This window comes from Homo sapiens, chromosome 4 (assembly GCF_000001405.40).
Source record: "Homo sapiens chromosome 4, GRCh38.p14 Primary Assembly".
NCBI lineage: Eukaryota > Metazoa > Chordata > Mammalia > Primates > Hominidae > Homo > Homo sapiens.
Genome location: NC_000004.12, coordinates 1,770,680 through 1,786,784, shown reverse-complemented (window position 1 = coordinate 1,786,784; position 16,105 = coordinate 1,770,680). Strand labels below are relative to the sequence as shown.

Genomic DNA, 16,105 nt, shown 5'->3' with positions numbered 1-16,105 from the left:
TCCAGCCCTCAGGAAGTGGGGCGTGGCTGGTCCCTGGAGACCTCCCCTAGCCCAGCTGTTGACCTGTCAGAAACAGAAGCCACCTCTTGCCAAGGTGAGGGCCTGGCTGGCGTCTTGGGCCCCTTGCTGCGGTGTGCGTGGGGCCTCGTCTGCCCGGATCCGGCAGGGCAGTCAGGGTGAGGGCCGAAACCAGCGCCCCTGCAAGAAGCCTGCTCTGGCCCCAGCCTCCCGGGGGTACGGAGCTTCTGCAGGTCCCCCAGCCCTTATGCTTCCTGCCACCTGCTCCCACAGAAGCCCTCCTGCCACTCCAGCTCAGCCGCAGGCACTGGGAAGGGGAGTCTGTTGAAGCCACAGGGTTGCCCCATTTTACAGCTGGGTATCGTGACGCACCTCACACGAGGTATATTCTAACAGCCGTTGGCTGAGGGTCTGCTGAGGCACTGGGTAGAGCGTCCCCCAGTGCTTCCGCTCAGCAGGGAGATGTGGGCCGTGGGTGCCTTAGGAGGCTGGCAGGGCTGGGATGTCAGCGCCGTCGACACCTCATCCCTGTGCAGCTCCCAGCCACGCTTCCACCCTCCCTGACCACCTGTGGCCAGCCCCACGCTCTGGGCTCCTCCATCTATGGGCCTGCCTTTCCAGGGACCCAGTCCCAAGGCTGACTGGGGCCCTGATGGACAAGACGACCCTTTCTGCCCCAAGCTTGGGGCCACCTCTGCCTCCAGCTCTCGGAGTCCCCAGGGCTGGGCAGGACAGTGGAAGCAAGGTCTGCAGCCCCTAATAGAGACATCTTCGCCTCCTGAGGCCTCCCTTCCCCGCCACGCCTGCCTGCCTCCCCCGGCCCCAGTCTGCTGACAGCTTCATTGTCCACTGACCTGGGCAGGGGAGGGACCGAGGGCATGGGGGTGCTGACCGGCGCCAGGCAGAGGCAGGCGCCCGGGAGAAGGTGCCTACGCAGTGTGCACCCAAGCCACACATAGCTGGTGCCCACGCCTATGCCACACCTGTGCCCACACCTGTGCCACACTATAGCCCTGGTCAGACAGGGCTGCCCAAAGGGCCTCAAACCTGCTGAGCCCCAGCTGGGGAGTGAGGGCCTCAGGGGCCTCCCAGGGGCACAGTGAAGGGGATGGGAACTGGGGGGCGGGGGAGGTGCCCCTTCCCAACCAAAGGGGACAGAGAGCTGGACACAGAGGCTGGGGCTGGGGAGGCTTTGAAGGCAGGGTGAGGACCAGCAGGTCCTGGGGTGGGGGCACATGGAGTGCCCGCCAGGCCTGGGCTCAGACTGCACCCACCCAGCTTGCAGCTGAGCAAGGACCGGTCACTGTCAGGGCCGGAGGGGCAGGGCAGCGCACACTCGGGAGGGCGGGTTGACCAGAGCCTTGGGTCCCAGGCCCGGGGTTATCTCAGGATGGGGGTCTGTGTTGCCTCAGTGTGGATCAAAGGGGCAGCTTATCAGGCCAGCCAGGCCAGGGCTGGCTTCCCACGGCCGCCCTTCCGCCCGCCCAGCTCCCCTCCCTGCTCCCAGCAGCCTTTGCTCCCTGCGCCTCCCTGCCCATGGGGACCTTCCACCCTCCCTTCTCTGGGATGCCTTCTGAGGCCTGCCCAGGCCCTGTGGCTCTGAGGCTTATCCCCAGATTCACCCCTCAAGGATCTGGTCTACAGCCAGGCCATGACTGACCCCCAGGAGTGGGCAAGGAAGCAGCCTGCAGGTCTAGAGTGGAGGGCCACAGGGATCGCTCCCTGGATGACAGGTCCGTTCATCTGGAGGCAGAAGGCAGGGCAGGCAGAGCGCATTCAGGCAGCGGCAGCTGTGTGCCTAGGGACCACAGGCAGAAGGCACTGGTTCTAGGGTGTGAAACCGCTGGGGCTGGGTGGCCACATCCCAGGGGGGCACCCACCCTCTCAGAGGACATGCCCAGGGCACATGGAGCCATCCAGGTGCCCCTGTGGAGCTGCTTTGGGCCCAGGGGATTGGTGTTGCCAAAGAGAAGCTCTGGGAGCCACTACACCAGTGCCACCCGCCTGCCTGGGCATGGAAAACTGGGTCAGAGCAAGGCTGGGCAGGCTCCCTGTGCCAAGGCCGCCGCCTTGCTGTGCCCAGCCAAATGGGCATCCACAGCCAGGGCAGGGGCTTCAGGTGGCAGCACAGCCTGGGGCCCGAACCCGTGCCTGTGTGCTCACATGGTCACGTGTGCATGTGCTCTCACGTGTGATTGTCCTAGGGACACAAGTAATGTCAGAGGCTTCAGCTGACAGCCTTGGCTCAGGCCCCACATGCCCCGACCTGGCTCCAGACAACCTGTTGCCAGTGTGGTGTCCAGGATAGCCGAGTTTCCAGGCTAGCCCACAAAAGCTGCGTGCCCCAAGTGTCCTGCCCAGCTCTGGCCAGCTCAGGAGAAGGCCCCTGCCTGTGATCCTTGTATCTCCGGGGCTCGGGGAGATAAGTGAGTCAGAAGACAGGTGAAGAAGCTCAGCTTCGGGAGGACAGCCCCTGCCCTGGGTGCACAGCAAATCAATCATAGTCGCTTCCTGGCTGAGCACCTCAGGACTGCCCATCAAGCACCCTCCCTTGGGTCAAGCTCGTCCTGCCTCCCAAGCAACCCCCAGCTTGCTGCACCAGGACACACCCCCATCTTCCGCATGGCTGCCTCAGAGAAGCTGCCAGGGTTCCGCAAGAGCTGTGCCTTGGCCTTGAGGCTGGCCCGGCCGTGTGGGGCTCATTAGCCCTCGAGGCTCATCCTCCTGGCGGTGCAGGAACTGCAGGACACTGTCACGGGCACCTCAGGACTGAAGCCCTGGGCCCCATACCCCTGCCCAGCCTCTAACCTGGTTCCTGGAGGGCAGGGACTGAAGAGAGGGACGGGCTGCAGGTGACCCCCATCCTGGGTGCCAAGGGTAGAGGCTGAGCCGTCTGCCCACCGAACCCTGCTGCACCACTCTCTCCTGAGCATGGGGCACCTTCTTTCTCTCTTTGCCCTGGCTGCCAGGAAGCTCAGACCAAGCCAAGGGTCCAAGGGCAGGCACCTCCCTCCACAGAGTTTCTTCATTCCCCACTTCCTCCCTGGCCCCACAGAGGCCTGGGCTTGCCTGGGCTTCCAGCCCTGCCTTGGGGCAATCTGTGCACCTGCTGGGCAGGGTCGGTCCACCAGCTGCTGCTGGCTCTGCGGTCCTCCCAGATCCACCCCACTGAAGAGCAGGGGGACGGGCAAATCTCCAAAACCAGGGGCTGGTGAGTCTCAAAGAGACCCCCCATCCCACCCCCATCCCACCCCCATCCCGCCCCCATCCCGCCCCCATCCCTGCCCCTGCCCACCCACCCCTTACTGCTGGAAGACCCTTAGCTCCCCCGAGACAAAATGGTCCTGTGCCTGGACCTCCCCCCGCTGCAACGTTGACATTGTGACCCCACCACAGCATGGCAGGACCCCCAGGGCGGCCCCACACACCCTCTCCTAAGGATGCCCTGGACTCAAGTTGCACGGCTTGTGCATGCAGGCCCGTGAGGGGTGCAGACATGGCACTCCGCCCAGAGAGCTTATAGGACCCCACTGCTTGCTACTGTGGAGCTCACAGAACTGGTAGTGCCAGAAATTGGCTTGGGCAGGTGGAGACTCGACAGCCAGCCTGTTCCCCAGGGCCTCTCTGTTCAGGTTCTACCCAGACGCCCTGCACCCCCCCCCCCCACCTGTCTCCATTGCTCTCAGACAAGGGGCTGGAGGCGCTGGACACCTGCTGGCACCATACACCCGGAAAGACCCAGCAGGTCCTCTGGCCCCCTTTCCTGCATGCCCCATGCTCTGCTCTGAATGTCGTGGACTGCAGGCTCCATCCTGGGGCCCCGCTGTCATCACCCCGTCTGTCGTCAATGGCCAGGCCCCATCATAACCTGGCTCTGAATGCCATGACCAGCCCCCTCCCTGAGCCCCTCACCTCGGCCATCGCCCGCCTCCTGGCCATGCATCCCATCTCAAGGCCGGTCCCAGCCCGGAGGACCGGGCTCCCTGCATGGCCGTGGGCTCACCCATGCAGTCATCCATAGAGTGGGGGCAATAAAGCTGCGACCAGGCCTGCAAGGAGAGGCCTCAGTGTCTGGAGACTTCTGGAAGGCGCTGGGCCGCTATTGCTTGGGCGTCGCCTCGGGCTGCCCCCAGACCCTGAAGCAGCTGCCCAGGCGGGCACGCCTGTGGGGTTGCATGCTCAGGAGGGGCGGCAGGAAGCCCCCGGACCTGCTGTGTGGCTCACGGGCAGTAGAGGGCACCCAGGCTTGACCGGGGACTCTGTGAGAGACAGGACTCCAGTCGAACAGCAGACAGCTGGTTCCTGTGAACAGCATGGGCCCAGCTCAGGGCTGCCCCACCCCCAGTCCAGCCCGGGGCTGCAGGTCTGGGTGGTGGCTCTGCTGGGGCTAGGGCTGCACTGGGGTAGGGTGGCTGGATCCTCTCATACTATCCAGGCCTCGGGGCTGGGAACAGAGAGACGTGTACCCTGCACAACTTCGGCACAGTGGAGCTTTATGCTTCCTGTTTTTTTTCTTTTTTTACTTTTTTCTCGAGACAGGGTCTGGCTGTGTCGCCCAGGCTGGAGTGCAGTGGCGCGATCTCGGCTCACTGCAGCCTCCGCCTCTGAGGCTCAAGCCATCCTTCCTCCTCAGCCTCCCAAGTAGCTGGAACTACAAGCGAGCACCACCACACCCAGCTAATTTTTGTTTTTTTTGTTTTTCTTTTTGAGATGGAGTCTTCCTCTGTCGCCCAGGCTGGAGTGCATCTCGGCTCACTGCCAGCTCCGCCTCCCGGGTTCACGCCATTCTCCTGCCTCAGCCTCCCGAGTAGCTGGGACTACAGGCACCCGCCACCAGGCCCGGCTAATTTTTTGTATTTTTAGTAGAGATGGGTTTTCACCGTGTTAGCCAGGATGGTCTCGATCTCCTGACCTTGTGATCCACCCAGCTCAGCCTCCCAAAGTGCTGGGATTACAGGCGTGAGCCACCGCGCCCGGCCAATTTTTGTATTTTTTTTAGAGACGAGGTTTTGCTATGTTGCCCGGGCTGGTCTTGAACTCCTGAGCTCAAGCAGTCTGCCCATCTTGGCCTCCCAAAGTGCTGGGATTATAGGCATGAGCCACCATGCCCAGCTGGAGCTTTAAGCTTCTGAGAAGACACAGCTTTTATACATCAGATTTATTTATTGTAATTTTTTTTTTTTAAGATGGAGTCTCTCACTGTTGCCCAGGATGGAATGCAGTGGCGCGATCTCGGCTCACTGCAAGCTCCGCCTCCCAAGTTCACGCCATTCTCCTGCCTCAGCCTCCTGAGTAGCTGGGACTACAGGTGCCCACCACCACGCCCGGCTTATGTTTTGTATTTTTAGCAGAGATGGGGTTTCACCGTGTTAGCCAGGATGGTCTCGATCTCTTGACCTCGTGATCCGCCCTCCTCAGCCTCCCAAAGTGCTGGGGTTACGGGTGTGAGCCACCGCCCCTGGCCCTATATATCAGATTTATTTAGGCCCAGAAAATAAAAACACTGCAGAACCTGGGGAGAGAGAATTACCGCCCTTGGGCCCTTGGCTTGGTCTGAGCTGCCCGGCAGGCAGGGCAAAGAGAGAAAGAAGGTGCCCCATGCTCAGCAGAGAGCAATGCAGCGGGATTCTGTGGGCTGACAGAGGGCTCGGCCCCCACCCTTGGCATCTGTGCCCATGTTCCCCCTCCCAGGGCTGAGACTCTGGCCCCCACCCTGCAGATGTGTCTTGGAGCAGTGGAGAGGGCAGAGCCACGATGGGCTCATAACCGGCTCTGGGCTGGACACCACGCCTGCCAAGGGACCCCAGAGCTGAGAGACACTGAGCAGGGCCACTTGGGCCTGGAGGAGCTGGCACAGCCCAGGCCCCAGGGAATGAGGGGAGGCTGTGGTGGGTCCAGCCCTGCTCACGGCGCTGCTGGAGCTGTGTTTTTTTCAAAGCGCACTTGAGGTCCAGGCCCTGCCGCCCACACGGGACATCTGAGCACCCTCTCACAGCCTCACCATGACGCCTGTTCCTCAGTCCCTTCTCCCAGACCGTCTAGGGCCCATGGAAACCCGGGTTGGCTCAGTCCCCTTCCTGCGCGGGACTCTTTTTTTTGAGACGGAGTCTCACTCTGTTGCCCAGGCTGGAGTGCAGTGCTACGATCTTGGCTCACTGCAACCTCTGCCTCCCAGGTTCAAGCAATTCTTCCACCTCAGCCTTCCACCTGCTCGGGACTCTTACAGCTCCCGGGCTTCTGGCCAGCTCAGCACAGCTAGGGCTTCCCAACAACCTCTCTGACCACCTCGCTCCCCAGACCTGCTGGTGCACACTTCCTTTCCGCATCCTCTCCCCACAGGCCTACCTCACCCCTCAGGGCTATTCAGCCCTCCCCATCTACTCTCAAATCCTACCCACCAGGTGTGGGCCTCCTGACCACAGGCAGAGCCTCCACAAAGGCCTGGAGGCATCAGATGACCCCATGGATTTGGGGAGGAGGCTGAAAGGTGGGCAGCCCCTCGGGGCACGTGAGCTCCCAGGGCAGGACCTGGGCCTGGACCAGAGCAGGACCGAGGCCAGCTGGGCCCCCGAGGGGCAGGCAGTTCCCAGAGGAACCTCCTGTAGCTGTCCTTGACCCTGGGGCCTGGCCATGGGCCCTGCCCCACCCCCAACCCAGCCGATGAGGTGTGGAGACTGAGGCCAGCAGAGGGCCCTGCTCCAGGCTTGTGTTTCCCGAACCCCAGGGCAGCGAGGGTCAGGCTTGGGGACCTCAGAGGCCTGTGCTGCAGGCCACCAGCCCTCACAGGACTCTTGTGAATCAGGCGTTGGCCCTTCGCTCTTCACTAATTCATTCAATCCCAGCCACCCAGCGAGCACCTCCTGGGTGTCTGGGGCTGCTCCCAGCCCTGGGGGCTCATCTGGGCCATAGGCCATGGCCCTGCCCTCGAAGGCCACATGGTGGCCCAGGCTGGAGGTGGGGCCCTTGGGCACTTTGTGCAGGGAGGCTGGTGCGTCAGCCCTGCATGGGGCCCTGCCCCAGGGATCTCCGAGCAGCGCTTGGGCCAGGTCCTGAGCATGAGGGTGGTCAGGCTGAGCCCAGGGGCTGATGCTGCCTGGAGCCCCGGCCCCCATTCCCTGGGAGCACTCGGAAGCCCAGGACCTGCCCCTCGGCCCATCGCTGGGCCTGTCTGGGGTCCTGCCACTCGCCAGGGGAGGTGGCAGGCCTGGCAGACCACCCATTACAGCCATGGATGCCCCCTTCTCCCCACGCCAGGGAACCCTCCATCCAGGTGGTCAGGGGATGGGGGCAAGAGCTCCTTTCCCAGGCAGAGTAGAAGAAGATGTTCAGGTGGGCCCCTCAACACCTGTCCCCTGGGCATGGTGCCAGCCTCCCCCAGCTCCAAGCTCTCTCCCAAGTGAGGCCCCAGCAGCTGAGGCCTTTGTGCCTCATGTCACCCGCCAGCCCGGGGACTGCCCTATGCCAGGCCAGGCTCCCTGGTCCTCCTGACACGCTCCTGCCCTGACTGTGCCCAGACACAGTGCAGACACAGTGCGAGGACTGAGCAAAGCATGCTGGGCTGGCCCTGAGCAAAGCATGCTGGGCTGGACATGCTCGGGGCTGGCGGGACCCTGTCTGGGTGGGGGAAGGACACTGATGGGCCCTGGTTTGAGGCAGGCATCACAGAGCTGAGGAGAGAGGGAGACCCAGGCACGAGGTAGGATGCAGGCTCGGTGGCCTGGGCTGGCCTCTTGGCATGGGCCTCCAACCACGGGGCTCGAGCAGGGTCAGGGCAAGGGGCCACTGCCACGCCTCCTTCACCCTTGCTTCCAACAGGCTGGCTTGAGGTCACCATGCCCTGAGGTCCTGGGGGCCACGCTGCATGAAAACCTGGACCCCTCAAATACGGTAGGTGTCCCTGAGTGCCAGGCTCGAGACAGATGCTGGACAGAGCAGGGAAAAGGGTCCCTTCATCTGGGGCTGGCAAGAGTGGGCGATGGCCAGGCAAGGCCTCTTGGGTGCCACAGAACAGGGGCGGGCCAGGGGAGGACCAAGCAGTGCAAGGGAGGTGGCGGGCAGCTGGCCCTGTGGCTGGAGAAGCATGGCCTCTGATGCCGGTGGACATTGGGAATCCCCAGGGGCTTCAGGCAGAAGAGAGGCGTGAGGCGGGAGGCCCCTTTGCTGCCAGGTGGCGAGGGCACGTGAGGTGGAGGCCAGCGGCCAGTCAGATGGACCCCAGGCCCACGCATTCTCAGGGCCCAGCCCAGGAGGGTATCAGCAGGGTCCCTGGAGCAGCTGACACCAGTAACGCTGGGGGGAGGGGCAGGGACAGAGGAGGGGTCCCGAGTGGGGGGCGCTGATGGCTCAATCCTGGCCGTCACTGCTCAATGGGCCCTTGTCCCAAGCCATTGAGCGCTGCATTCCCGGCCCCCTGGCGACGGCCCTGGCCACGGCCATCTCCGGGGAGGCAGGAATGTGGCGGGCGGGGCTCTGGCTGGGGGTGGGGGCTCCCGTTCTCACGCCCGCGGCCACTCTGGCCGACTCAATTGGAATTTAAATGCCGGCTATTGTTGTCCCCAGAATGGCCAGGAGTCAGCGCTGCCCTGGGGGCTTGGCCAGGCAGGACTGGAGTGGCCAATCCAGCAGCTGGCCAGCCCAGCTCCCATGAGGCCCAGCCACCTCTGCATTCCTTTTCCTTAGCCCCCTCTTCCAGGAAGTCCTCCTGGATCTGGCCAGCCCCCTTTTCCGGCTGCCAGCTCAGATTCTTTCTGGCCCTTTCTGCCCTGGGGGGAAGGATGATGGATAGCTCCTACATGGTCCCTGCCTGGGCTAGGACCTGCCTGGGGAGCCCCACCCATGGCCTGCTGTCTCCAAGAAGAGCTGGGCCACGCCCATCTGTGAAGAGCAGCCCTCACCCTCCCAAGGGCCTCACTCCAGCCATCAGGAGCCCAGGATGGGGGCTGGAGCAGAAGGAGCTCAGGGCTGCACTCAAGGTTTCTGGGTACCCCGACCCCCTTGGTGGAAGAGGCTGGGGTGGGATGCTGGGCCCACCCCTAAGGCATCCTCAGGCCCAGGCTGGGGGTAGCACAGAGCTCTCAGGGGGTCTGACCCAGGCAGGGCTGGGAGGAGCCTCCTGGGGCACGTGTCCCCCTGAGCTCCAGCCTTGTGGAGTTGGAGGGTCCCAGGAAGAGAGGTGAAGCTCTAGACTCCCACCCTGGAAGGCAGCTCATGGGGGTCCCCATTCCAGCTCACACTCTGTGGAGCTCAGATGCACCAGGTGGGTTACTTCCCTGGACTAAGGGTGGTCCCTGGGTCTGAGTCCAAGCAGAAACCCTAGGAAGGGGCATGTGGGGATGTACCCAGCTTTTGAGGACACACAGGGACCTGCCACCATACTGTTGCCCAGTCCGGGCCTGGGGCCTCTGAGTCTGTCCTCCCACAGCGGCCAGGGTGTGTCAACGGGTACCCCAACTCCACGCAGAGCCTGCCTCACCTTTGCAGGAGCATGTAAAACCCCCAATTCCCATTCTTACACCCTAAACCCCACCAAACACAACTCCAGCCCCCTAGGTTGGGGCCCATTCCTTGGTGCCCTGGGCCATTTGCCCAGCTCAGGCACCCTCTGAGGGCCGGGCCACCTACAGGAGGTGCCAGCCGCCCCCCAGCCCATCCCATACCCCTTCCTCCGCCAGGACTTCATTCATTTATTTATTTGCTGAACCTCTGACATGTCTGAAAGGGGCCTTTGTCCGCGCAGACAATCAATAGCACAAATGGAAATGGATTCGTGTTTGGGGAGAGTCTGGTGTGTGTGTTTGTGGGATGGGGGGGCTGGGCCGGAGGCCCAAGGAGCGGACCGCAGGCTCTGTCGCCCACCCGGCCCAGCAAGCTATGTGCCCTCCAGGAGTGGCAGATGCCCGTGAGCAGACATGAGCCCAGCCCAGCCTGGACGAGCGCTGTGGGTGAATAATGGATGCCATCCTAGCGCGGGCAGTGCTGTGCTCACGTGGCCAGCCAGGCCCAGGCCACCTGCACAGTGGCCAGTGAGGGTGGGGCTGAGAGACACCCAGTGAATGGGCTGTGGCCAGGTCCCTGCATCACCCGGGCCCAGGGTACAGCTTGCAAGAGCCCTGAGGCCAGGGTCGAGGTTGAGGACAGCAGGGCGGGCTCGCAGCCGAGTGGCCCCTGGGACAGGGGAGGAGGCCACTGTGAGCCGCCATTGAGACTTTTATTGGAGTGAAATGGGGGCTCAGGCGGCTGATGGAGGAGGCATGTGACCTACATAAGGTTTTCAAAAGATTGTTTGCTGGATGGGGGCTCTGATGCCAGGGGAGCTGGGTACGGGTCCCAGCGAGAGGAGACCACCTCGATCTGAGCAGGTGGTGGCTGGGAGGGCAGGAAGCATTAGAGCCAGGTGTGGCTGGAAGGCCCAACCACATGGGTTTGCTGACTGATCCGCTGTTGGGGCGGAGGCACATTTATGAAAAGGGGAAGGACTCGGGTTGAGCCCTCCTGCCCCTCACTGCCATCCTCCCCATGCACACCACAGTCTGAACTCCCTCGAGGCAGAGAGCCCTGGCCTCTGCACTTGCACACTGACTCACGCAGAGCCTGGGGCTGCCTGGGCCTGATGGAGCTGGCAGGCAGGGACTGTCTTTTTCCTGGAGGACTTCCTGGTGGAGGCCTGCTGCAGTTGGAGGCCTGAAGCACAGCGGACAGCCCCAGGCGTGTGTGGTGAGACCTGCTGCTAGGTCCTGGTCCCTTGGCCCAGTGGGGGTCGGGAAGGGGTGGGAGGTTTCTGCCTGCCCGGGGCAGCCGAGCAGCGCTGACCCAGCACTGTCCTCTGTGTCCCAGGCGCTGCTCCTGCCAGCCCCCGGCGCCTGCCCAGACAGACACGGTCCATTCATGGGCCGCGGAGACACAGCCGTGGGCATGTCAGTGGCCTGGCCTGCCCAGCTGGAGCATGGGGCCTGTGGCTGTTTGTCCAATGTCCGCTCATCCACGGCCAATGGGCTTTGTGGGCTGGCTCAGGGCAGCCAGACTCCTGGCTGGTTCTCAGCTACTGTGACTGTGGTCTCTGAAGCAAGGGTGGCAGTGAGGGCAGGAAGCTTGGGGACACCATGGGAGGAGCAGGTTGAGGGTGAGGAGGGAGCCCCACTGTCCAGGATGTGAGGTGCAGGGCGCATGGGACCCCAGATCTGCAGGTGGGGCTGCCCCACAGGGAGTGCTGGCGGCTATGGGAATGGGCAGAGCTCAGAGGTCCCCTGGGTTATTTATTTATTTTAGAGATAGGGTCTTGGCTGGGCACGGAAGCTCATGCCTGTAATCCCAGTACTCTGGGAGGCTGAGGCAGGCAGATCACCTGAGGTCAGGAGTTCAAGACCAGCCTGGCCATGGTGAAACCCTGTCTCTACTAAAAATACAAAAATTAGCCGGGCATGGTGGTGTGCACCTGTAATCCCAGCTACTCGGGAGGCTGAGGCAGGAGAATCACTTGAACCTGGGAGGCAGAGGTTGCAGTGAGCCGAGATCGTGCCATTGCACTCCAGCCTGGGCAACAAGAGCAAAACTCCATCTCAAAAAAAAAGATAGGGTCTTGCTATGTTGCCCAGGCTGGTCTTGAACTCCTGGCCTCAAGTGATCCTCCTGCCTCAGCCTTCCAAAGTCCTGGGATTGCAGGTGTGAGCCACCATGTCAGAGGCCCCCTCGGGCCGGCCTGCTGGTGCCCAGGAGCTCCTAATTAAGCCACAAAGGGCAGCTCCCTCTGGGGATATTGCACTTGGTCCTCAGCCTTTGTCTGGAGGTCTACCCCTCCAAGGACCTCAGGGGGCAACCTGCCCATGTGGGGTCTACTCATCCCATGCACCAATGCTCCCTTGGACTGCAGTGGGAGGGGCATCCCTGTGCCTTGGGTGACCTACGTTGGGTCCCAGGCCATCCTATTCTGCTGTGAATACTACCCTCCAGGCCCCCACACTGGGCCACGGACCACCAAGGTCCCCCCCTGCTCAGAAGTGGCCTGCCTTCACATAGCCTGACACCCCAGGGCCACAGCCTCTGCCCTGACCCTGTGGCCCACCCCGACAGCACTGGCAACCTCAGCCCCATCCTCCGACTTGGCCCAAGAGGCATCTTCCTAAAACCAAAGCTCTGTCCGTCTGATGCGCTCAGGCCAGTGTCTGTAGGCGGCCCAGGTAGGGTGGGGTTCTTGAGAATATCGGCCCACCCTGAGCCTCTTCTGGGCAGAATGAGAACCCCATCCTCCTTCTGGGGCCTGGGTTCCCTCATGGCTGGAAAGGGCCCATAGTGGCCAGTGGGGCTCACAGTTCGGACTCCTGGCCAAGAGGCTGCGCTGAGCCCAGGGATGAGTCTGGGAGATGTAGCCTGGCTGAGGCCGCTGTGGCCTTGTAGGCTCGATGTTCTTGCAGCTTCAGCTGCTTTGGTGAGGCCCCCATGTGCACATGGCTGGATAGGGAGGAAAGGGCAGGCAGGTGGATAGCCTGGGGGCTTCGGGTAAATCCCCAAGGTCTGGAGTTGGACACGGGGCTGCAGAACAGCTCCAGCAGAGCCTCACACAACCGTGTCAAAAACCTCCGTCACAGGCACACCCAACACCCCCATCCTTCCCATGAGCCAGGACATGGCCCGGGGGGCCTCTCTCCGAGGGAAGTGTGCCACCATCAGGACGTGGGGTTCAGGAAGCAGCCCAGGCTGAATGGAGGAGAATGGAGGCAGGAAGGCCAGGAAGAAGTTGAAGCTGCCTTCCCAGCGACAGGTGAGGCTGGGGGCTCGGCTGAGCCGCACCAGAGGATCGCGCAGGGCCTGGGGGCTGTCCACCTAGGCATGGAGAACAGGCCCGGAGGAGAGGGCCACAAGCCCAGCAGTGAGTTTAGGAGCCCTAGAGCCCAGAGCCACCGTCCCAGGCCAGAGCTGAGCACCTGCTGGGATTTGTGCCTGCTGGAAGATGCCCTCCTCAGATCCCCTCACCCCTGTCCCAGGGCCTACCACCCCATCACCCACACTGAGCCATGAGGGGTCAGAACAGACATGGGCTGTGGTCCGGCAGCTGCCCGCACCCCTATGCACAGAGCCACGGGGCAGAGGGGAGCCTCCATCTGGGCCAACAGGGCCCATCTCAGGCAATGAGAACAGGAGGGGAGGTGGGGCTGAGGCCTGGGGTGGAGGGCTTAAAAGGGCTTCCCAGAGAGGGCCACAGCTGAGTCGGGTCTCAGAGCAGAAGTGCATGGCCAGTGCGGGCAGCGGGGGTGGGAGGTGGGACCTGAGGACCCTGGGTAGAGGCCGTGGCGGGCAGAGGCCAGCAGCCAATCAGAGCTGGCAGCTCACAGACAGCCCCTGGGGATGGTCTGGGCCCGCATGCCCAGAGGGAGGCCGGTGTGAGAACAGCTGGGTGAGCCAGCCCGAACGTGCCTCCCTCTCGGCCCCCACCCTCACCCAGATCTCGCTGCCATCTGAGCAGGAAGGGAGCTGGGATCTGAGATTGGGCCTCCACAGACTCAGATGCTGCAGGGGTGGGCCCCACCCGGCAAATGGGAGACCAACACCAGAGAACCAGCTGCCCTGCTCGGCCCTGACCCAACCTCGAGAGCCCATCTCTCTCTGGAGGCGGCTCCGGCCCCACCATTCCGGCCCCTGCCCATATCTGGGGCAGATCAGCTGGGGAGGGACAGGGACAAGAGTCGTGCTAATCTCTGCGTCTCCTGGGACGGCCCCGCCAGGTTTGCAGCGGGTGGGGGGTGGTGAGCAGGGTAGGATTTCCAGTTGGCCCCATCCCAGGCGCCGACACCTGCTTCGGGCGCGACGAGTCCATTCTGCTCCTGTCAGAGATAACACCTCCAGCGCTCACCGGCTGTCCAGGGAACAAGGGCTGGCACTGGCTCGAGCCAGGCAGAGAGGTGGGCATGGTGGGCCAGGGCCCAGGGGAGGGCCAGTTGGAAGTGATAACCTCCCCTTCCTGCCTTCCATCAGGGGGCCCAGAGGGAGGGGCATGGGGTGGGAGTGGAGCAGGCTTGGGGGACCCAAGGGGTCCCTTCCTCTCCAGGACACAAGCCACCTTGGACACAACCGGCCCCTCCCTCATCCCCCAGTCAAACAAGGTGGCCAGAGAGGACGTGGGGGAAGGAGGTGGAGGCCTGGGCCAACTCCCCAGATCCCCCAGCTCCTGCCTGACTCTTGGCCATCTGCCCAGCCGTGGGAAGAGAGGGCCACAAGCATCTTTTGGTGGTGCCATAAGTGCCCCCTGACAGTAGCCTGAGTTTCCCATGCTTTGAGATGGGGTGGTGGGGAGGGACTGACCTGTCCCTAGGTCCGCACCATCTCTGGGTCTTTGGACACAAGTGTGTGGGTAACCACGCTTCTGCATGGCATAGAGCTGGCTTTGGGTAAAGTCCCTATCCCTGTGGTCCAGTCTGAGAGGTGGCTGGTCACAGTCACCCCGACCCCCCGCCTCGGAGGCTTGGGTTCCCCCAATAAACTGGGCCGCCATCACACAGCTTGCAGGCTGCTTTGCACACTCTCGGCCTCCACCGCTGCCAGGCACCACAAACACCCACTGAGCCCAGACCCTGCCAGGGACCAGACCCGGGGCCCCTCCCAGGGACCCCTCCCAGGGCTGGGGCCTATGTTTGCCCAGGGGCCATGTATTCATGGGTGTGCCCCACACCCGCAGGCATGTGCTCACGTGTGCCTGTGTGCCCGTGTGTCTGTGTGCACAGAGGGGCCGGGGCAGAGTCCCTGGTAGTGCCCTGCTGAGCAGGCCCCAGGCCCCCCTGCAAGCGGTCAGGTCGGAAAGGTTAGGGATCAGGACACAAGTTGCTGGCACCAGGAAGCCGAGGCCCAGCGTGCTCCCAGCCCCTCCCCATGCCTGCCCCGAGCCCCCCGTAGACTGCCAGTGGCTCCTCTCTGGGCCTCTGTGGGCTGAGCTGGGGCCTCTGCCTGCCAAGGCCCCCGTTCACCCCCCTTCGGAGTCTGGGGCCCCGAGCTGCGGTGCAGAACTGGAGGGCGGGGGCGGGGCTGCGCCACAAGCCAGACCCGGAGGCCCCAGCAAAACCGCGAGCCCCAGCATCGGGCCGGCTGGGGTGGGGGAGGAGGGGTCCTGGCCCACACTTCCAGCCCCCGCAGGGTCCTCACACACCCAGCCTGGCCTCCAGACAGGCAACTGGACCCAGAGAGGGGTGGCCACTCCCAGGCTGCATACAGCATACCAGGCCAGGCGAGTAGAGGGGGTGCTCCCGGCAGTGACGTGCCACCCGAGACAGAGAGCCCCTGCCCAGCCCACACCCGCTGTCCTCATGGCCTTCGGGCACGCAGTCTGGCCAGGGACCCTCCCGGGACCCTCCAGTTTCTCACTCTGGTGAGTCCTGTGTGCTGTGCCACCACCCCATTGACATAGGTCCTCCTATCGCCATGGGCCTCCTCGTCACCATAGCCCCCCATCGCCATGGCCAGGCCTCAAGCCTGAGCCCAAGTCTTTGGTCAGGTCACAGCTCCAGAGTGACCTGAAGGCCCTGGGTGGGGAGAGGTTTGCAAACCCACAGAGCCCCCAGGGACCTCACAAGTTTGCCCCGTGCAGTGCAGTCTGAGGCCGGGCACCCCTGGTGGGCCTGAGACGTGTTTGGTCCTGCTCCCCTGCCTCCTCTGCTACCCAGAGCTGCAGAGCCTGGAGCCCTGGGCCGTACAGACCTCAGCCCTCACTTGCCCTTTGCCTCTCAGGTCCCAGGGTCAGGGTTGGGGTTAGGTTTCCTCCGAGTGAAAAGCCCAGGGGCCCCTCCTAGTGTCTGTGTCCCACAGGAGTCAAGCCTCAGGTGCATGCCAGAACATGCACCAGCATGGCCTTTGTCCCCAGGCCACCAATGCCCGCGACCACCAGTGTCCGGAGGAGAGGAAGCCCTCAGGGAGCTGAGACAGTGGGCAGACTCCACCCAACCCCGAGCCCGGTGCCCCCCACCTGGCTACACTGCCCTCTTGGAAGCCGTCCTCCCCCACCCCTGCCCGATGGTGGGTGTCCTGACTTCTGGGGGCGAGTCCTGCAGACCCCTGGTAGGGCTTTGCACTGTGCCAGCCTTTCTCCCATCAGGTGCTTCTCCTGGGG

The 16,105-nt window shown here is 63.4% G+C and overlaps 1 long non-coding RNA gene across 1 annotated transcript, besides 3 other annotated features; it reads left to right on the top strand.

The window, feature by feature from the left end:
• Positions 523 to 1,897: a transcriptional cis regulatory region, noted in NCBI's record as "candidate enhancer chr4.260 targeted for multiplex CRISPR interference". NCBI's record gives its function as "positively regulates FGFR3 gene expression with high confidence in K562 cells {active_cell/tissue: K562}" and the evidence as "EXISTENCE:mutant phenotype evidence [ECO:0000015][PMID:30612741]".
• Positions 8,476 to 9,239: an enhancer, noted in NCBI's record as "NANOG-H3K27ac-H3K4me1 hESC enhancer chr4:1779273-1780036 (GRCh37/hg19 assembly coordinates)". NCBI's record gives its function as "activates a minimal SCP1, AML or CMV promoter by ChIP-STARR-seq in primed H9 embryonic stem cells {active_cell/tissue: H9 hESC(primed)}" and the evidence as "EXISTENCE:reporter gene assay evidence [ECO:0000049][PMID:30033119]".
• Positions 9,851 to 14,502, top strand: LOC124900648 (uncharacterized). Its single transcript, XR_007057990.1, has 2 exons — positions 9,851 to 10,731; positions 12,600 to 14,502. It is a non-coding gene; the product is annotated as an uncharacterized LOC124900648 (long non-coding RNA).
• Positions 15,105 to 15,214: a silencer, noted in NCBI's record as "silent region_15143". NCBI's record gives its function as "represses an Ori minimal core promoter by ATAC-STARR-seq in GM12878 lymphoblastoid cells {active_cell/tissue: GM12878}" and the evidence as "EXISTENCE:reporter gene assay evidence [ECO:0000049][PMID:35858748]".